The 15,326-nt window shown below is 43.7% G+C and overlaps 1 long non-coding RNA gene across 1 annotated transcript, besides 1 other annotated feature; it reads left to right on the top strand.

Annotated features, from left to right (window-relative positions):
- Window positions 684-862: a silencer, noted in NCBI's record as "fragment chr14:74302771-74302949 (GRCh37/hg19 assembly coordinates)". NCBI's record gives its function as "represses an EF-1alpha promoter that drives an FKBP-Casp9 reporter gene in an ReSE screen in K562 erythroleukemia cells {active_cell/tissue: K562}" and the evidence as "EXISTENCE:reporter gene assay evidence [ECO:0000049][PMID:32094911]".
- On the top strand, window positions 6,795-14,371 carry LINC02274 (long intergenic non-protein coding RNA 2274). The gene is made up of 2 exons (NR_135238.1): window positions 6,795-7,034; window positions 13,438-14,371. It is a non-coding gene; the product is annotated as a long intergenic non-protein coding RNA 2274 (long non-coding RNA).
- The last annotated feature ends 955 nt before the right edge of the window (window positions 14,372-15,326 follow it).

The raw sequence follows: 15,326 nt of genomic DNA, 5'->3' as shown, positions 1-15,326 counted from the left end.
AATACCCGTTCTGCAGGTCTGGCCCTGGGTACTGAGACTGGTTTTCTCTGTGCATTCATCAGTGAAGTTATGTAGATATAGCTCAACTGGAACTACATTTCCCAGAATTCCCTCCCACATAGTGTATGAGTTAGGCTTGGCTACAAGTGAAAGATTCCATGCAATTTGGACAGCAGAAGTGAAGCAGTGGCCATAATGCTCTGAAAGCCTCACATACCTCGTGACTGCCCTGCTGACTTCCTTTGTTGGTGTGGGGCAGCAACTTGGCCCACCATTCCTCCAGTTCCCATCTCAGGGATGCTTCCTGGGATGCTTCCCAAATAAACTACTTGCATTCAAATCCCCCCCCTCCTTTTTTTTTTTTTTTTTTTTTTTTTTTTTTTTTTTTTTTTGAGACAGGGTCTCTCTCTGTCACCCAGGCTGGAGTGCACTGGCTGGATCATGGCTCGCTGCAGCCTCGACCTCCCGGGCTCAAGCAATCCTCCTGCCTCCGCATCCCAAATAGCTCGGACTACGGGCATGAGCCACTACACCTGGCTGATTTAAAAAAAAAAAAACTGTAGAGACAGGGTCTCCCTATGTTGCCCTGGCTGAGCCTCAAACCCCTGGGTTCAATCAGTCCTCCAGCCTCAGCCTCCCAAAGTGCTGGGATCAACTCCTTATCTCATGGCTGGCTTCCAAGAAAACCCAAACTAAAACAGATCTCATAAAATGGAACAATGGACTGAACTTGATTAAGTTAAATTTACTTATTTATATTTTATTTTATTTTTTGAGACAGGGGCTGGAATGTCAGTGATGTCACCCAGGCTGGAGTACAGTGGCGTGATCTCGGCTCACTGCAACCTCCGCCTCCTGGGATTACAGGTGCCCATCACCACGCCTAGCTAATTTTTGTATTTTTAGTGGAGACGGGCTTTTGCCATGTTGGCCAGGCTGGTCTTAAACCCCTGACCTCAGGTGACTGATCCACCCGCCTGGGCCTCCCAAAGTGCTGGGATTACAGGTGTGAGCCACCGCACCTGGCTGGATAAAGTTAAATTTAAAGATCTGCCCAGCTGGGTGTGGTGGCTCACACCTGTAATCCCAGCACTTTGGGAGGCCGAGGTGGGCACATCACAAGGTCAAGAGATTGAGATCGTCCTGGCCAACATGGTGAAACCCCGTCTCTACTAAAAATACAAAAATTAGCTGGGCGTGGTGGCGCATGCCTGTAGTCCCAGCTACTTAGGAGGCTGAGGCAGGAGAATTGCTTAAACCCGGGAGGCAGAGGTTGCAGTGAGCCGAGATCGCACCACTGCACTCCAGCCTGGCAACAGAGTGAGACTCTGTCTCAAAAAAAATAAATCTACCCTTAGATTCAAAAACCAACTTCACGTATAACAAGGAGATACTCACACCCAAGCAGTCACCGGTCTTAGAGTTGGAGCAGGCCTCTGGCTGTGCCTGTGGGGAAGCTCAGGGGTGGTCCCAAGGGTCCCAGGTTTTCAATAACTTTACATCCTGTTCAGCTATACCAGATGAATAAGTGTTGTTTGTGTTTAAGATGATGCTGAGCAGATAAAGAGAAGCACACCAGTGTCACCCTAATACATCTGAGCCCCCATCTCCTTCCCAAGGCCTACATCAGTGCTGCATCTTGGTCAAAAGAAAAGCCAATTTGACTCCAAACAACTTTGAAAGTAACAAAGCCTGTACTAAATCTCTCTCAGGCTGGGCGTGGTGGCTCCCTCTGTAATCCCAGCACTTTGGGAGGCCGAGGCAGGCAGATCTGTTGAGCCCAGGAGTTCAAGACCAGCCTGGGCAACATGGCGAAACCCTGTCTCTACCAAAAACAAACAAGCAAAAAAAACCGTATATATATAACCATCCATTTATATATTTATATATATAACCATATATTTATATATATATAACTATATATATAACTATATATATATAACTATATATATAACTATATATATATAACTATATATATAACTATATATATATAACTATATATATATAACTATATATATAACTATATATATATAACTATATATATAACTATATATATATAACTATATATATAACTATATATATATAAATATATATATAACTATATATATATAACTATATATATAACTATATATATATATAAATTAGCCAGGTGTGATGGCATGTGCCTGTTGTCTCAGCTACTTGGAGGCGGAAGAATCACTTGAGCCCAGGAGGTTGAGGCTGCAGTGAGCCTTGATGGCACCACTGCACTTCAGCCTGGGTAACAGAGCGAGACCCTGTCTCAAATAAAATAAAAATAAATCTCTTTCAGAAGGTTGATTGACGAAATTGAGGAAGGAGCTACCTTACTGAACCAACAGCAAGTTCTCTAGCTTCAAAATTCCACCCTTAAGGAAATTGTTTAAATCTTTCTTCAGTTCCCCAAAGGCTCCAGCGCCCCTGTGGGTGCGTGCCCCCAAGTCCCAACCCCAAGTCCGCACTGGTCCACAAATGTTGGAGTCTCAATGACTCACAAACCAAGAGTTTCCTCAAGAGGTTGGGGTTGGGGAAAGAATGGGATTGGGAGGGAACAGGGAGAAACTGACTAATTATACCTCAAAAATTATTGTCCCTGTCATATGCAAAAATTAATTGTTTAAATGATCATAAATTCAGGATCCACCACTCCCTCCTTACCAGCCAAGCCTCCTCTCAGGGAGAATTAGCATAGGATAATAGGAACGGACTATTAGAAACAACTCAGTTACCCCTCACTTCCTGCTGGGAGCCAGTCCCTTATTCAGATAGGTATTTTAGGCAGGGTTGCTAATGACCTCCAAGCCCATTAGTGACATTCTTTATGTTTGCTTCACATGCTGATGCAGGTGATGTGACTGCCCCTGGCAAGATGGGAACTCCTCTCTCTGCCCTGGCACAGCTGCCTTAATGTTCTTAGGTAGCCTCTACTATTGTGTTCTAGACTTAAAATCCAGGCTAGTAAAAAGGGCGTCAGAAATTGGCCGACCATGCAGTCCTTTCCTATTTTGTTCTTTTCTGCACTGATGTATAAGTAAAAGTTTACGTGGTTGACACAGCGCCCAAACTCCATTTTCTTTGCTAATGGAAGAGAGTAGAGGGGAAGAAAACACAAAACAGGCTCTGTGTGCACAGCACACACACTGTCATTCTCACAGGGGCCTCCCTGGCTTCCTGGGCAGCTTGCCTCTTGAGGGGAGAGCAGGGCCCCTGGTCGTGGTGCCAGGAATTCCTAGTTGCGTCAGAAAGGGCAACCGCTGCCCATGAAGGCTGAGCAAATTCCCCGAGGCACCCAAACAGTGGGCAAAGGAATTCAGAGGTGGTGGGCCCCTGCTGCCTCCACCCCTCCTACTTATAAAAACACAGGCAACAAGCCATCAAAAAGACACTTTCAACCAGCAAAGCCCTAATATCCAAAATGCATACTCCAATGAATCAATATGAAAAAAAAAAGCAACCCACTAGAAAAAAATAGACACTTCACAAAAGAGGAAAAATATATTTAAAAGACGCTCAACTTCATTAATTAGCAGGAAAATGCAACTTAAAACAACAATAAGATGTCTTTATGCCTGATGATATCAAATGATGAAGAGGATGTGTAACAATGGGAACTCATACATGGCTGGGGAGGGAATACATTGGATTCAGTCACTTGGAAAACTATTTGGCAGTATCTAGCACAGTTGATTATTCACAGATGCTATGTGCCATTTGTCCCAAAAACCTGACCACTTCTCTTCCAGGTCTCCCAGAACCTTATCTGGATTAGCTATACAAACAAATGAGGTCTGGATTGAGGAGCTGGCATTCCTTTCCTTCCTTCCTTTCTTCTCTCCCTCCTTCTTTCTCCCTTTTCTTCCTTACTTTCTTTCTTTTTACCTTTTGCCTTCCCTCCTCTTCTTTCTTCCTTTATTTTTGCTTTTCAAAATAGTAAAATACAACATACATATAGAAAAATACATATAGAAAAATGCATAGAAAACTTTGAGCACTTTGGGAGGCCTAGCTGGGTGGATCACCTGAGGTCAGGAGTTTGAGACCAGCCTGGCCAACATGGTGAAACCCTGTCTCTACTAAAAATACAAAAAAGTTAGCCAGGCATGGTGGTGCACACCTGTAGTCCCAGCTACTCGGGAGGCTGAGGCAGGAGAATTGCTTGAACCCTGGAGACAGAGGTTGCGTGAGCTGAGATGGAGCTACTGCACTCAAGCCTGGGTGACAGAGCGAGACTCTGTCTCAAAAAAAAAGAGAAAAAAGAAAAACGAATAGAATATCTTTGGACAGTTTAAAAAATAATTACAAAGCAGCCCCCTGTGTAACCAACACTCAAGTCAAGAAATAATAATGGCCAAACATGGTGGCTTATACCTGTAATCCCAGCACAATGGGAAGCTGAGGCCAGAGGACTGCTTGAGCCCAGAAGTTCAAGACTGGGCAACAAAGTGATGTCCCGTCTCTATGAAAAATTTTAAAATTAGCTGGGCATGGTGGCACGTGCCTATAGTCCTAGCTACTTGGGGGGCTAAGGTGAGAGGATCACTTGAGCCCAGAAGGTTGAGGCTACAATGACTTGTGATTGTGCCATTGCACGCAAGCCTGGGTAACAGAGCAAGACTCTGTCTCAAAAATAAAATAAAATAAAATAAAATAAATAGTAATAATCAGCACCCAAGAAGTTCCCTGTGCATCCCCTGAGTGATCACAACCATCTCCCTCCTATCAGAATTACTATTATACTAACTTTCATGATGTTAATTCCTTCTTGTTCTTTATAATCTACCACCTGTATTTGAATTTTATATGTGTGGATTCCCACTGTGCACATTCTTCTGTATCATGCTTCTTTCCCTCAATGTTATGTTTGTGGGATTCAAACAACTAACTCACTGGTTGTCACCGTAGCTCACTCATTTTCATTGCTGTATTGTATGAATCCACTACGATGCATCTCTTTCATTCTTTTTCTACTTTTTTTGAGACGTAGTCTCTCTCTGTCACCCAGGCTGGAGTGCAGTGGCACGATCTTGGCTCACTGCAACCTCCGCCTCCCGAGTTCAAGCAATTCTCTGCCTCAGCCTCCCAAGTAGCTGGGATTACAGGCACCTGCCACCATGCCCAGCTCATTTTTTTTTTTTGTATTTTTAGTAGAGACAGGGTTTCACCCTCTGGGCCAGGCTGGTCTTGAACTCATGACCTCGTGGTCCACCCACCTCAGCCTCCCAAAGTGCTGGGATTGGTGGCAGGCGCCTGTAGTCCCAGCTACTGCGGGGGCTGAGGCAGGAGAATCACTTGAACCCGGGAGGCGGAGGTTGCAGTGAGCTGAGATTGCGCCACTGCACTCCAGCCTGGTGACAGAGCGAGACTCCGTCTCAAAAAAAAAAAAAAAAAAAAAATAGATAGGATTGTTTCTGTTTTGAGCCTATTATGAACAATGCTGCCAAGAACATTCTTGCACCTAAATCCTGATACCCTTGTGCAAGAGCTTTTGTAAGGTGATGGCATCAGGGGGCTTCCCTTTAATCAGGGCTTAGTGCATTCACGCTTTTCCCCTGTCTCCTCTTCCAAAACCACCTCTCAGGAAAGGATTAGAAGTTCACTCATGTTAAGGTATAAATGGCTGAGAAGGATTAACATGTAGTCTCTCCCATATAACTGTGAGGTGGGGACAAAGGAATTAATTTCTAATTGTAGAATTTTAGTATCATGCCGGGCGCGGTGGCTCACGCCTATAATCTCGGCACTTTGGGAGGCCGAAGCGGGCGGATCACAAGGTCAGGAGATTGAGACCATCCTGGCTAACACAGTGAAACTCCGTCTCTACTAAAAATACAAAAAAATTAGCTTAGTGTGGTGGCGGGTGCCTGTAGTCCCAGCTACTTGGGAGGCTGAGGCAGGAGAATGGCGTGATCCCAGGAGGCGGAGCTTGCGGTGAGCCGAGATTGGCCACTGCACTCCAGCCTGGGCGACAGAGCAAGACTCCGTCTTAAAAAAAAAAAAAGAAAAAAAAAGAATTTTAGTATCAAGAGATTGGTGGAGAGAAATCCATTAAGTTAGCCCTAAAAAAAGCATCACATGGTTGTAATACCATGAACCAAGAAAATGAAAAAGAAAAAATCCATATAGACAACAACAACAAACCAGCCAAGGTGCTATACTCTACTTGAAAGGTCAAAACCCACATACAAGAAACGAAGTCCCGCTGGGCACAGTGGCTCATGCCTGTAATCCCAGCACTTTGGGAGGCTGAGGTGGGTATATCATCTGAGGTCAGGAGTTCGAGACCAGCCTGACCAACATGGTGATACCCCATCTCTACTAAATATACAAAATTAGCTGGGCGGGTGGTGCGTGCCTGTAATCCCAGCTACTTGAGAGGCTGAGGCAGGAGAATCGCTTGAACCTGGGAGGCAGAGGTTACAGTGAGCCAAGATCACACCATTGCACTCCAGCCTGGGCAATAAGAGCTAAACTTCGTCTCAAAAAAAAAAAAAAAAAAAAAAGAAGAAGGAGAAGAAATGAGGTCCTGTCTCCGAGGATCAGTTGGTAGTTAATGGCTAAGCTAACTGGTGATAGAGTGGTCAAAAGTAAGTCCTCAAGGCCAGATACCTGCACTTGAACCTCAGCTCCATCAGCTAGATGAGTCACGTTCTCCCAGCCGCAGTTCCTCTTCTGAGAAATCGACATAATGAGAGTACTGACCTCATCAGGCTGTTGTGAAAATAAAATAATGACTGAATCACATTTCACACAGCGCTTTCCGTTTAGTAAGTGCTCAAATAGTATTGGGCATCCTTCTTATTTGTGTTATTTGATGCTGAGTGTGAGCACTTTCTCTGTGTCAGGGTAAGCCAATGATCTGAGTAGGGCTTGATAATGCCATTGGAGAGTCTGACAAGATCAAAGTGTAAATGGGAGAGAAGAGGAAAAGAAGGAAAGAAATGAGAGCCACATATCTACTGGCAAAAGGAAAAGTGCAAAATTTCCAAGGGCAGGCTGCTGAAGGCCTGCCAGAGCGGGTAAGTGGAGAGGCTGGGCCAGAGAGGCAGAGGGGCTGCTCACCTAGATCAGGCCCAAGAAGCGGTTTGAGTGGGTCTCACTGTGTCAGGATAGAGAGGTCAGGTGTAGTCAATACATGAATAGGAAGGTGCAGGGCAAGAAGTAGGTCAGACAACAGCAAAGGTGTGCATGCCCACAGGATTGCTGTAGATCAACTGGAACTGAGGCCTGTGGCTTGTGATGCAGCTGTGGCTAACAGCTCCTATGCATGCTGATGGCTTCACGTCTCAAGCACCAGTGGAGTCTCTCAGCTTTTCTGCTTCAGAATTTTCTCCTCAGCTTGGAAGCTTGCTCAGTCCAACTTGCAGATACAGCCACAGAAGAAAGGGGCGGGAGCTGGGTAGTAGGGGAGTGGGAGAGTGCCAATGGAAGATGAAGGTTGCTGGATAAATGTCCCAACCTCTCACACTTCAGCAGGACAATTTTGGGTGGTTTCTATATGGTTCTTCAAAAGTGTGCAGGGAGATTGAGCCAATTGTCCACAGTGACAACCCAGCTCAGTAATGTATCTTTCATTGGCTTTCCGTCCTTCCTGTATCACTCTCCTCTCTCCCTCCCCGTCTTCCTTGGATATCTTCCCAAGTAAACTATTGTCACCCAAGTTCTTGTCTCAGGGTCTGCTTTAGGAGGCACCAAACCTAAGTTGTTTTATTACTAACACAAATCTGAAGCTGAGATTCCAAAAACTGAAACAAAAACTAACTTAAATAGAATGTAGTCTTGATGTGGGGGCTCACGCCTGTAATCCCAGCACTTTGTGAGGCCAAGGCGGATGGATCACTTGAGTCCAGGAGTTCAAGACCAGCCTGGGCAACATGGCGAAACCTCATCTCTATAAAAAAATAGAAAAATTAGCCAGGTGTGGTGGTGCAGGCCTGTAGTCCCAGCTACTTGGGAGGCTGAGGTGGGAGGATCGCTTGAGCCTAGGAGGGTGAGACTGCAGTAAGCCACCATCATGCCTCTGCACTCCAGCCTGGAAGACAGAGCAAGACACTGTCTCAAAAAAATAATTAATAATAAACTAAAAATAAATATAATAGAATGTTGAAGAAACATGGTCTAAGTGGAAATTAGGAGTGATTTTGCCAATGGAAAATTTCAAGAACTAATAGATCCTGTTCCAGCAGGTGTGACTAGAGAAAGAGGGAAAAAAAAAAAGAATAGAGTCAAAATCATTGTATAAGCTAGATGTGCTCAGATAAACCAAACGTGGGCAGGCATATGAATAGAAGAAAAAACAAACTGCAGGAGTATTAGAAGAAAATGTAAGCAATCCTGGGAAAATAGTCCTCAGAAATTCTCACAAAGGACCATATATGAGGTTGTTCATTACAGGGTTGTTTGTGGTAAGGGGAGTTGAAAGCTCCAGGGGCTCGATGCTGGGGGAAGGGATGAGGGTAGCAGTTAGAATCAAGAAACTGAGGGTACCATGGCTATGTGGAAGGGCTGTAAAACAGTGCTGAGAGAAGACAGTCAGAATAAGGCCTGTGGCACAATATCATTTACCTAAATACATATATATAAAAAAAATTTTATTTATTTATTTATATGCATATATATGCATGTATATGTATATGTATATGCATATATATGCATGTATATGTATATGTATATGTATATGTATATGTATATGTATATGTATATGTATATATTTTTGAGATGGAGTCTCGCTCTCTCGCCCAGGCTGGAGTGCAGTGGCATGATCTTGGCTCACTGCAACCTTCACCTCCTGGATTCAAGTGATTCTCCCGCCTCAGCCTCCCGAGTAGCTGGGACTACAGGCACGCGCCACCACACCCAGCTAAGTTTTGTATTTTTAGTAGAGATGGGGTTTCACCCTGTTGGCCAGGATCATCTCGATCTCTTGACCTCATGATCTGGCCTCCTTTACCTCCCAAAGTGCTGGGATTACAACGGCCACCGTGCCTGGCCCGAGAGCCACCACGCCCGGCCACATATTTTATAAGGAAACATGCAAATGCTATAAAACCTATCAAATGCATTACTGTGTTGTGTATGGTGTATTGGGGGGATGGGAATGGGAAATGGGATAAAAGGGAATAAACAGACAAAGATATGTCTCACACAGACCAATGCTGACCATGAGGAATGTGAGCTGAGGAGCTGAGGAGCAGATTAACTCGACTGAGGTCCAAAATGAAAGAAAAAAAGTACAGGGAGATAGTATTATAACCTCCAAGTACGGAAGGCCTCAAACAAGGTATAAAATGCTAAATACAGCTGGGCGCAGCTGCTCACGCCAGTAATCCCAGCACTTTGGGAGGCTGAGGCGAGAGGATCGCTTGAGCTCAGGAGTTCAAGACCAGCCTGGGCGATTTATTGAGACCTAATCTTCAGTAAAAAAAATTAAAAAATTAGCCAGGTGTCGTGGTGTAAACCTGTAGTCCCACCTATTCGGAGGCTGAGGTGGGAGGATTGCTTGAGCTGGGGAAGTCAAGGCTGCAGTGAGCCATGATTGCACCACTGCACTCCAGCCTGGTGAGGGAGCAAGACCCACTCTCCATTTAAAAAAAGTAAAATAAAATGTATACATGCTAAAGTAAAAATTATAACTACTACATGCATAAAAAGACATCTGGCTGGGTGCAGTGGCTCACGCCTGTAATCCCAGCACTTTAGGAGGCCAAGGCGGGAGGATCACTTGAGCTCAGGAATTTGAGATCAGCCTGGTCAACATGGTGAAACTCTGTCTCTACCAAAAATATAAAAAATTAGCCAGGTGTGTGGCGTGCGCCTGTAATCCCAGCTACTCAGGAGGCTGGGGCAGGAGAATTGCTTGAACCCGGGAGGTGGAGGTTGCAGTGAGCTGAGATCATGCCACTACACTCCAGCCTGGACGACAGAGCGAGACTCCATCTCAAAAAAAAAAGACATCTATTAGGGTGTCAACACAGCATTTTAGTAACAACTAGAAATTGAAAATGAAATGGTTAGTGGTGTTCCATTTCTACCATAAAATACTATGCAGGAGTAACAAGAATGAGGTGGACCTGCATGTACCGAGAAGGGGCACAGAGTGCTAGGAGGCCATTCTCAGGGTCACAGAGGGTTCTGCTTGCCTCACTCTGGTCCTGACCCTGCCAGGGTATATCTATAGAGGAAGAAGCAAGTCAAAGAATAAAAAAAGTGACCAGGCACAGTGGCTCACGCCTATAATCCCAGCACTTTGGGAGCCCAAGACAGGTAGATCACCTGAGGTCAGGGGTTCAAGACCAGCCTGACCAACATGGCAAAACCCTGTCTCTACTAAAAATACAAAACTTAGCTGAGCATGGTGTGCACGCCTGTAATCCCAGCTACCCAGGAAGCTGAGACAGGACAATTGCTCGAACCCGGGGTGGGGAGGGCAGAGGTTGCAGTGAGCTGAGATCACGCTACTGCATTCCAGCCTAGGTGACAGAGCAAGATTCCATCTAAAATAAAATAAAATAAAAATAAAAGAATAACAAAAGTCTGGGCAACATAGGGAGATTTTAAAAATACAAAAATTAGCTGGGCATGGTGGCACATGCCTATGGTTCCAGCTACTCGGGAGGCACAGGCAGGAGAATCACTTGAGCCCAGGAGGTCGAAGCTGCAGTGAGCTGTCATCGTGCCACTGTGCTCCAGCCTGGGTGACAGAGTGAATCTCTCTCTCAAATAAAATAAAATTAAAAAGAATAAAAGTACAATACAATTAGTACAATACAATATAATTAGTACAATACAATATAATTTGTACTATAAAAATGGCAGGGAAATACCTACTATGTATCCACAGTTTTGTGTTTTTTTTAATGGCAGGGAGACACAAAAAGAAATTTATAATTTGATCTGTACATTCTACACATACATCAGTGTCTAGAACGAAGTGTGCAAATTAAAATAACTATATATGTTGAATACGAGTGTAGGGAGTATGAAAGGATTGCTACATGATTAGTTGCTCCATTTTAAGATCTTCCAGAACAGTTTTGAGCAGTGAGGCCAGTTTTTCCAAATGTCTCTGGGTTCTGAAACACTCATCTCTCCAGGGTCCTATCCCTGGAGAAACGCTCAGGCCAGAGCCTGCACTTTCCAGAGCTGCCCATGGGGGGGCAGAAGCACCTATGTTAGCCGGCTGCCCTGGCAAACTGCCCTGTGACCTGGAATTTAGGGCTGGGCCCCGCCTGCTTCATAGCCATTAAGGCTGATTATTAAGTTTTTCTGCAGAGCAGCGATTCAAATATGTGCTCTTGGCTGCATATTTTCAAAATTCTGAACATGCAATTGAGTTAAAAGTAACGACCTAATTTTTTTTTCAAAATAGAATTACCCTACTTTCTTTCTTTATGATTATAAAAGTAAAAATATACTTACTATAAAAACTTTTTTGGAAAAGTATAAAATGAGAAAAACACATTTTTATTACCTGGATAAAACATTTTAATGTATTTCTTTTTGTACACAAACACTTTACTAAAAGATTTATTCATACTATACATATCATTTTATAGCTGCTTCATTTCAACTGGATCAATAACACCTCACTGGTATCTTTTAAGGGCTCAATGGTAAATAAAATTTACATACATGTTATTAACCTAGTTATTTCCATTAAAGCATCCTAACACTCACTGAGATGGGCCAAGGCCAAGACCCATGCCACTGTTTGGGCTTTAGATCTGGTAATGCTATTCTGACCAGAGGGCCTGGCATTTCTGTGAACAAATCAACAGTGAAGGGACCAAGTGCTTCCCTGGATCCACACTTCTGAATGGCTGTGGAGTTTTGACAGCCAAGTGCTTTGTGGTCTTTTGTAGGTTCCCTCACACAGTGGCTTTTTTTTTTTTTTTTTTTTTTTTTTGAGACAGAGTCTCACTCTCTGTTGCCCAGGCTGGAGTGCAGTGGCACGATCTTGGCTCACTGCAACATCCGCCCCCAGGTTCAAGCAAGTCTCGTGCCTCAGCCTCCCTAGTATCTGGGACTACAGGCGCCAGCCACCACACCCAGATAATTTTTGTATTTTTAGTAGAGATGAGGTTTCACCATGTTGGCCAGGCTGGTCTCAAACTCCTGACCTCAAGTGGTCTGCCTGCCTTGGCCTCCCAAAGTGCTGCGACTGCAGGCATGAGCCACCGCGCCCGGCCACACAGTCACGACTCTTTGAATAATGAATGTGATTTCAATTTATTAGATAACAGAAAATAGATGCACATCAGCTTCAAAAATCTCCCTTGGAAAAGTGATCGAGCTGTCTATGTATTGTGTGGAGTGACTGACTAGAAAATGAAGTCTTTGGATTGCCAGATTTTAGCTGCTTCTCCCTTAGGGGAAGTGATTATCTCATTATAGAAATGTATAAATGTAGCTCTTGCTAACTACATTGTTTGGGGAGGTTTGATTCAAAAAAGAATAAAGCAATGGCTTCATATGCAAAGACATGTCAGATTTAAACTGTCTTTCTTTCTGGCCCTGTTCTTCCAGGAGTGCCTAGAAAACTTAACCAGATAAAAAATAGTTTGGGCTGGGCACAGTGACTCACACGTGTAATCCCAGCACTTTGGGAGGCCAAGGCGGGCATATCCCTTGAGCCCAGGAGTTCGAGCAACATGGCAAAACCCTGTCTCTAAAAACAAATACAAAATACAAAAAAATTAGCCAGGCATGGTGGCACGCACCTGTAGTCCCAGCTACTCAGGAGGCTGAGGTCAAGGCTGCACTGAGCTGTGATCATGCCACTGCTTTTCAGTTTGGGCGACAGAGTGAGACACCGTCTCAAAAAAAAAAAAAAAAAAGAAGTCTGATTTTTTTTTTTAAAGTGAATTGTTTCTTGTTTTGGAAGGGATTCAGATAAATAAAAAGTTAAAGATTTGCCAACAAATACGAGAACAAATACACCATTTGGAGGGGATCAACTACCATACATATCCAATGCCCAAGGAAACAAAAACTAATTTTGCCCCCAACTTACAAAGATCAATGAATACAGAATTCAGAGAGAAAGTGTGATATTATTTTCTCAAAGGCATAATGAAAAATTTCCAAACCCAAACATCTTGGCAGACAATGGCTCAACTGAATAATCAAAACCCCAGGAACAATGGGCCACAGATGCAGAAAGGGCCCTGGGTGGTCAGGTTTGTGGTGGGGTGACAGCTTGCCAAGCAGCAAGGGCCCCTCTGAAGAGTTCTGCAGTTGTATTCTTTCTTCCTCAGGATTTAGGTCACAGGAGATGGTCCTGCTTTAAACCACCAACCTTCAAACCACCTCCAAAGCTGTCAATGCCTGGAGGAACTCCAGTCTTTGTCTGTGGTAGGGCAGACAAAGCTGACTGGAAGTTGGAAAGCATATTTTATTACATATGTGTTTGTTTTTTGACAGGATGGAAGGCAAAGGTTGTTGAAGTTATGAATGTCTGTTTCACAGAACTAAATATGAACAGCTTTATTAAGGAGATGGCTCATCCCAGGATAAAGACAGCAACAGATGATATAGAGAAGATTACACCAAACAAATCTGCTGTAAACTGCATTTACCCTTAGGAGATGATAAACTAAAGATGAAGGGAAGGGATAATGAATGAATGTTAAGAGCTAAAAACTATAAAACTCTTAGAAGAAAATATAGCAGTAAATCAACAAAACCTTGGATTAGGCAACAGTTTCTCAGATATCTCATCAAAAGCACAAGCGACAAAATTAAAAAATAGATAAATTGGACTTCATCAAAGTAAAACTTTTGCGTTCCAAAGAATACCATCAAGAAAGTAAAAAGACAACCCACAGAATGGAAGAAAATATTTGCAAATCATATATCTTAAGAGAATTGTAGCCAGAATATAAAAACTCTCACAACTCAACAATAAAAAAACAAATAACTCAATTTTGAAAGTGGACAAAGGGATAGACCTACAAATGTTCAATAAACACATGAAAAGATACTCAGTATCATTAGCCATCAGGGAAATGCCAGTCAAAACCACAATAGATACCATTTTATGCCCACTAGAATGGCTATAAGATAGATAATACTAAATTTTGTCAAAGATTTGGAGAAATCAAACCCTTACACATTGTTGATGAGAATGTAAAATGGTACACAATTTTTGGAAAACAATCTGGCAGTTCTTCAGAGTTAAAACAAAAAGTTACCTTGTGACCTAGCAATCCCATTCGAAGAGAGTTAAAAACATATTTTCCAACAAAAGCTTGTACATGAATGTTTATAGCAACATTATTCATTATGGCCAAAAAGTGGAAACAGCCCAAATAAATGTTCCTCAGCTGATGAGTGGGTAAATAAACGTGGTATGAACTTATGTTTTATTTATTCATTAAACCATAAAAAGCAATGAAGTACTGATACAGGCTACAACACAGATGAACCTTGAAAACATTATGCCAGCCTGGGCAACATGGTGAAACCCCGTCTCTGTCAAAAAAATACAAAAGTTAGCTGGGTGTGGTGGTGTGTGCCTGTAGCCCCAGTTACTCAGGAGGCTGAGGTGGGAGGATCGCTTGAGCCTGGGAGGCAGAGGTTACAGTGAGCTGAGATCACACCACTGCACTCCAGCCTGGGCGACAGAGTGAGACCCTGTCTCAAAAATAAAAAGAAAAAAAAAAAAAGAGAGAGAGAGAAAACAGTAAGCTAGCTGGGTGCAGTGGCTCATCCCCGCAATCCCAGAGCTCTGGAATCCCAGATGGGAAAATCGGTTAAGCACAGGAGTTTGAAGCTTCAGTGAGCTGTGATGGCACCGCTGCACTCCAGCCTGGATGACAGGGACTCTGTCTCAAAAAAAAAGAAAAGAAAAAAGAAAGAAAGAAAGAGAGAGAGAAAGAAAGAAAGAGAAGGAAGGAAGGAAGGAAGGAAGGGCCAGGCGCGGTGGCTCACGCCTGTAATCCCAGCACTTTGGGAGGCCGAGGCGGGCAGATCACGAGTTCAGGAGATCGAGACCATCCTGGCTAACACGGTGAAACCCCCTCTCTACTAAAAATACAAAAAATTAGCTGGGCGTAGTGGCGGGCACCTGTAGTCCCAGCTACTTGGGAGGCTGAGGCAGGAGAATGGTGTGAACCCGGGAGGCAGAGCTTGCAGTGAGCCGGAGATCGCGCCACTGCACTCCAGCCTGGGCGACAGAGCGAGACTCTGTCTCAAAAAAAAAAAAAAAAAAAAAAGAAAGAAAGAAAGAAAGAAAGAAAGAAAACTTTATGCTAAGTGGCTAAGTGAAAGAACCCAGGCTGGATGTGGTGGCTCATGCCTATAATCCTGGC

This window comes from Homo sapiens, chromosome 14, assembly GCF_000001405.40.
Source record: "Homo sapiens chromosome 14, GRCh38.p14 Primary Assembly".
Taxonomy (NCBI): Eukaryota; Metazoa; Chordata; class Mammalia; order Primates; family Hominidae; genus Homo; species Homo sapiens.
Note: the sequence above shows the minus strand (reverse complement) of the source record. Positions and strands in the feature narration are given on the sequence as shown.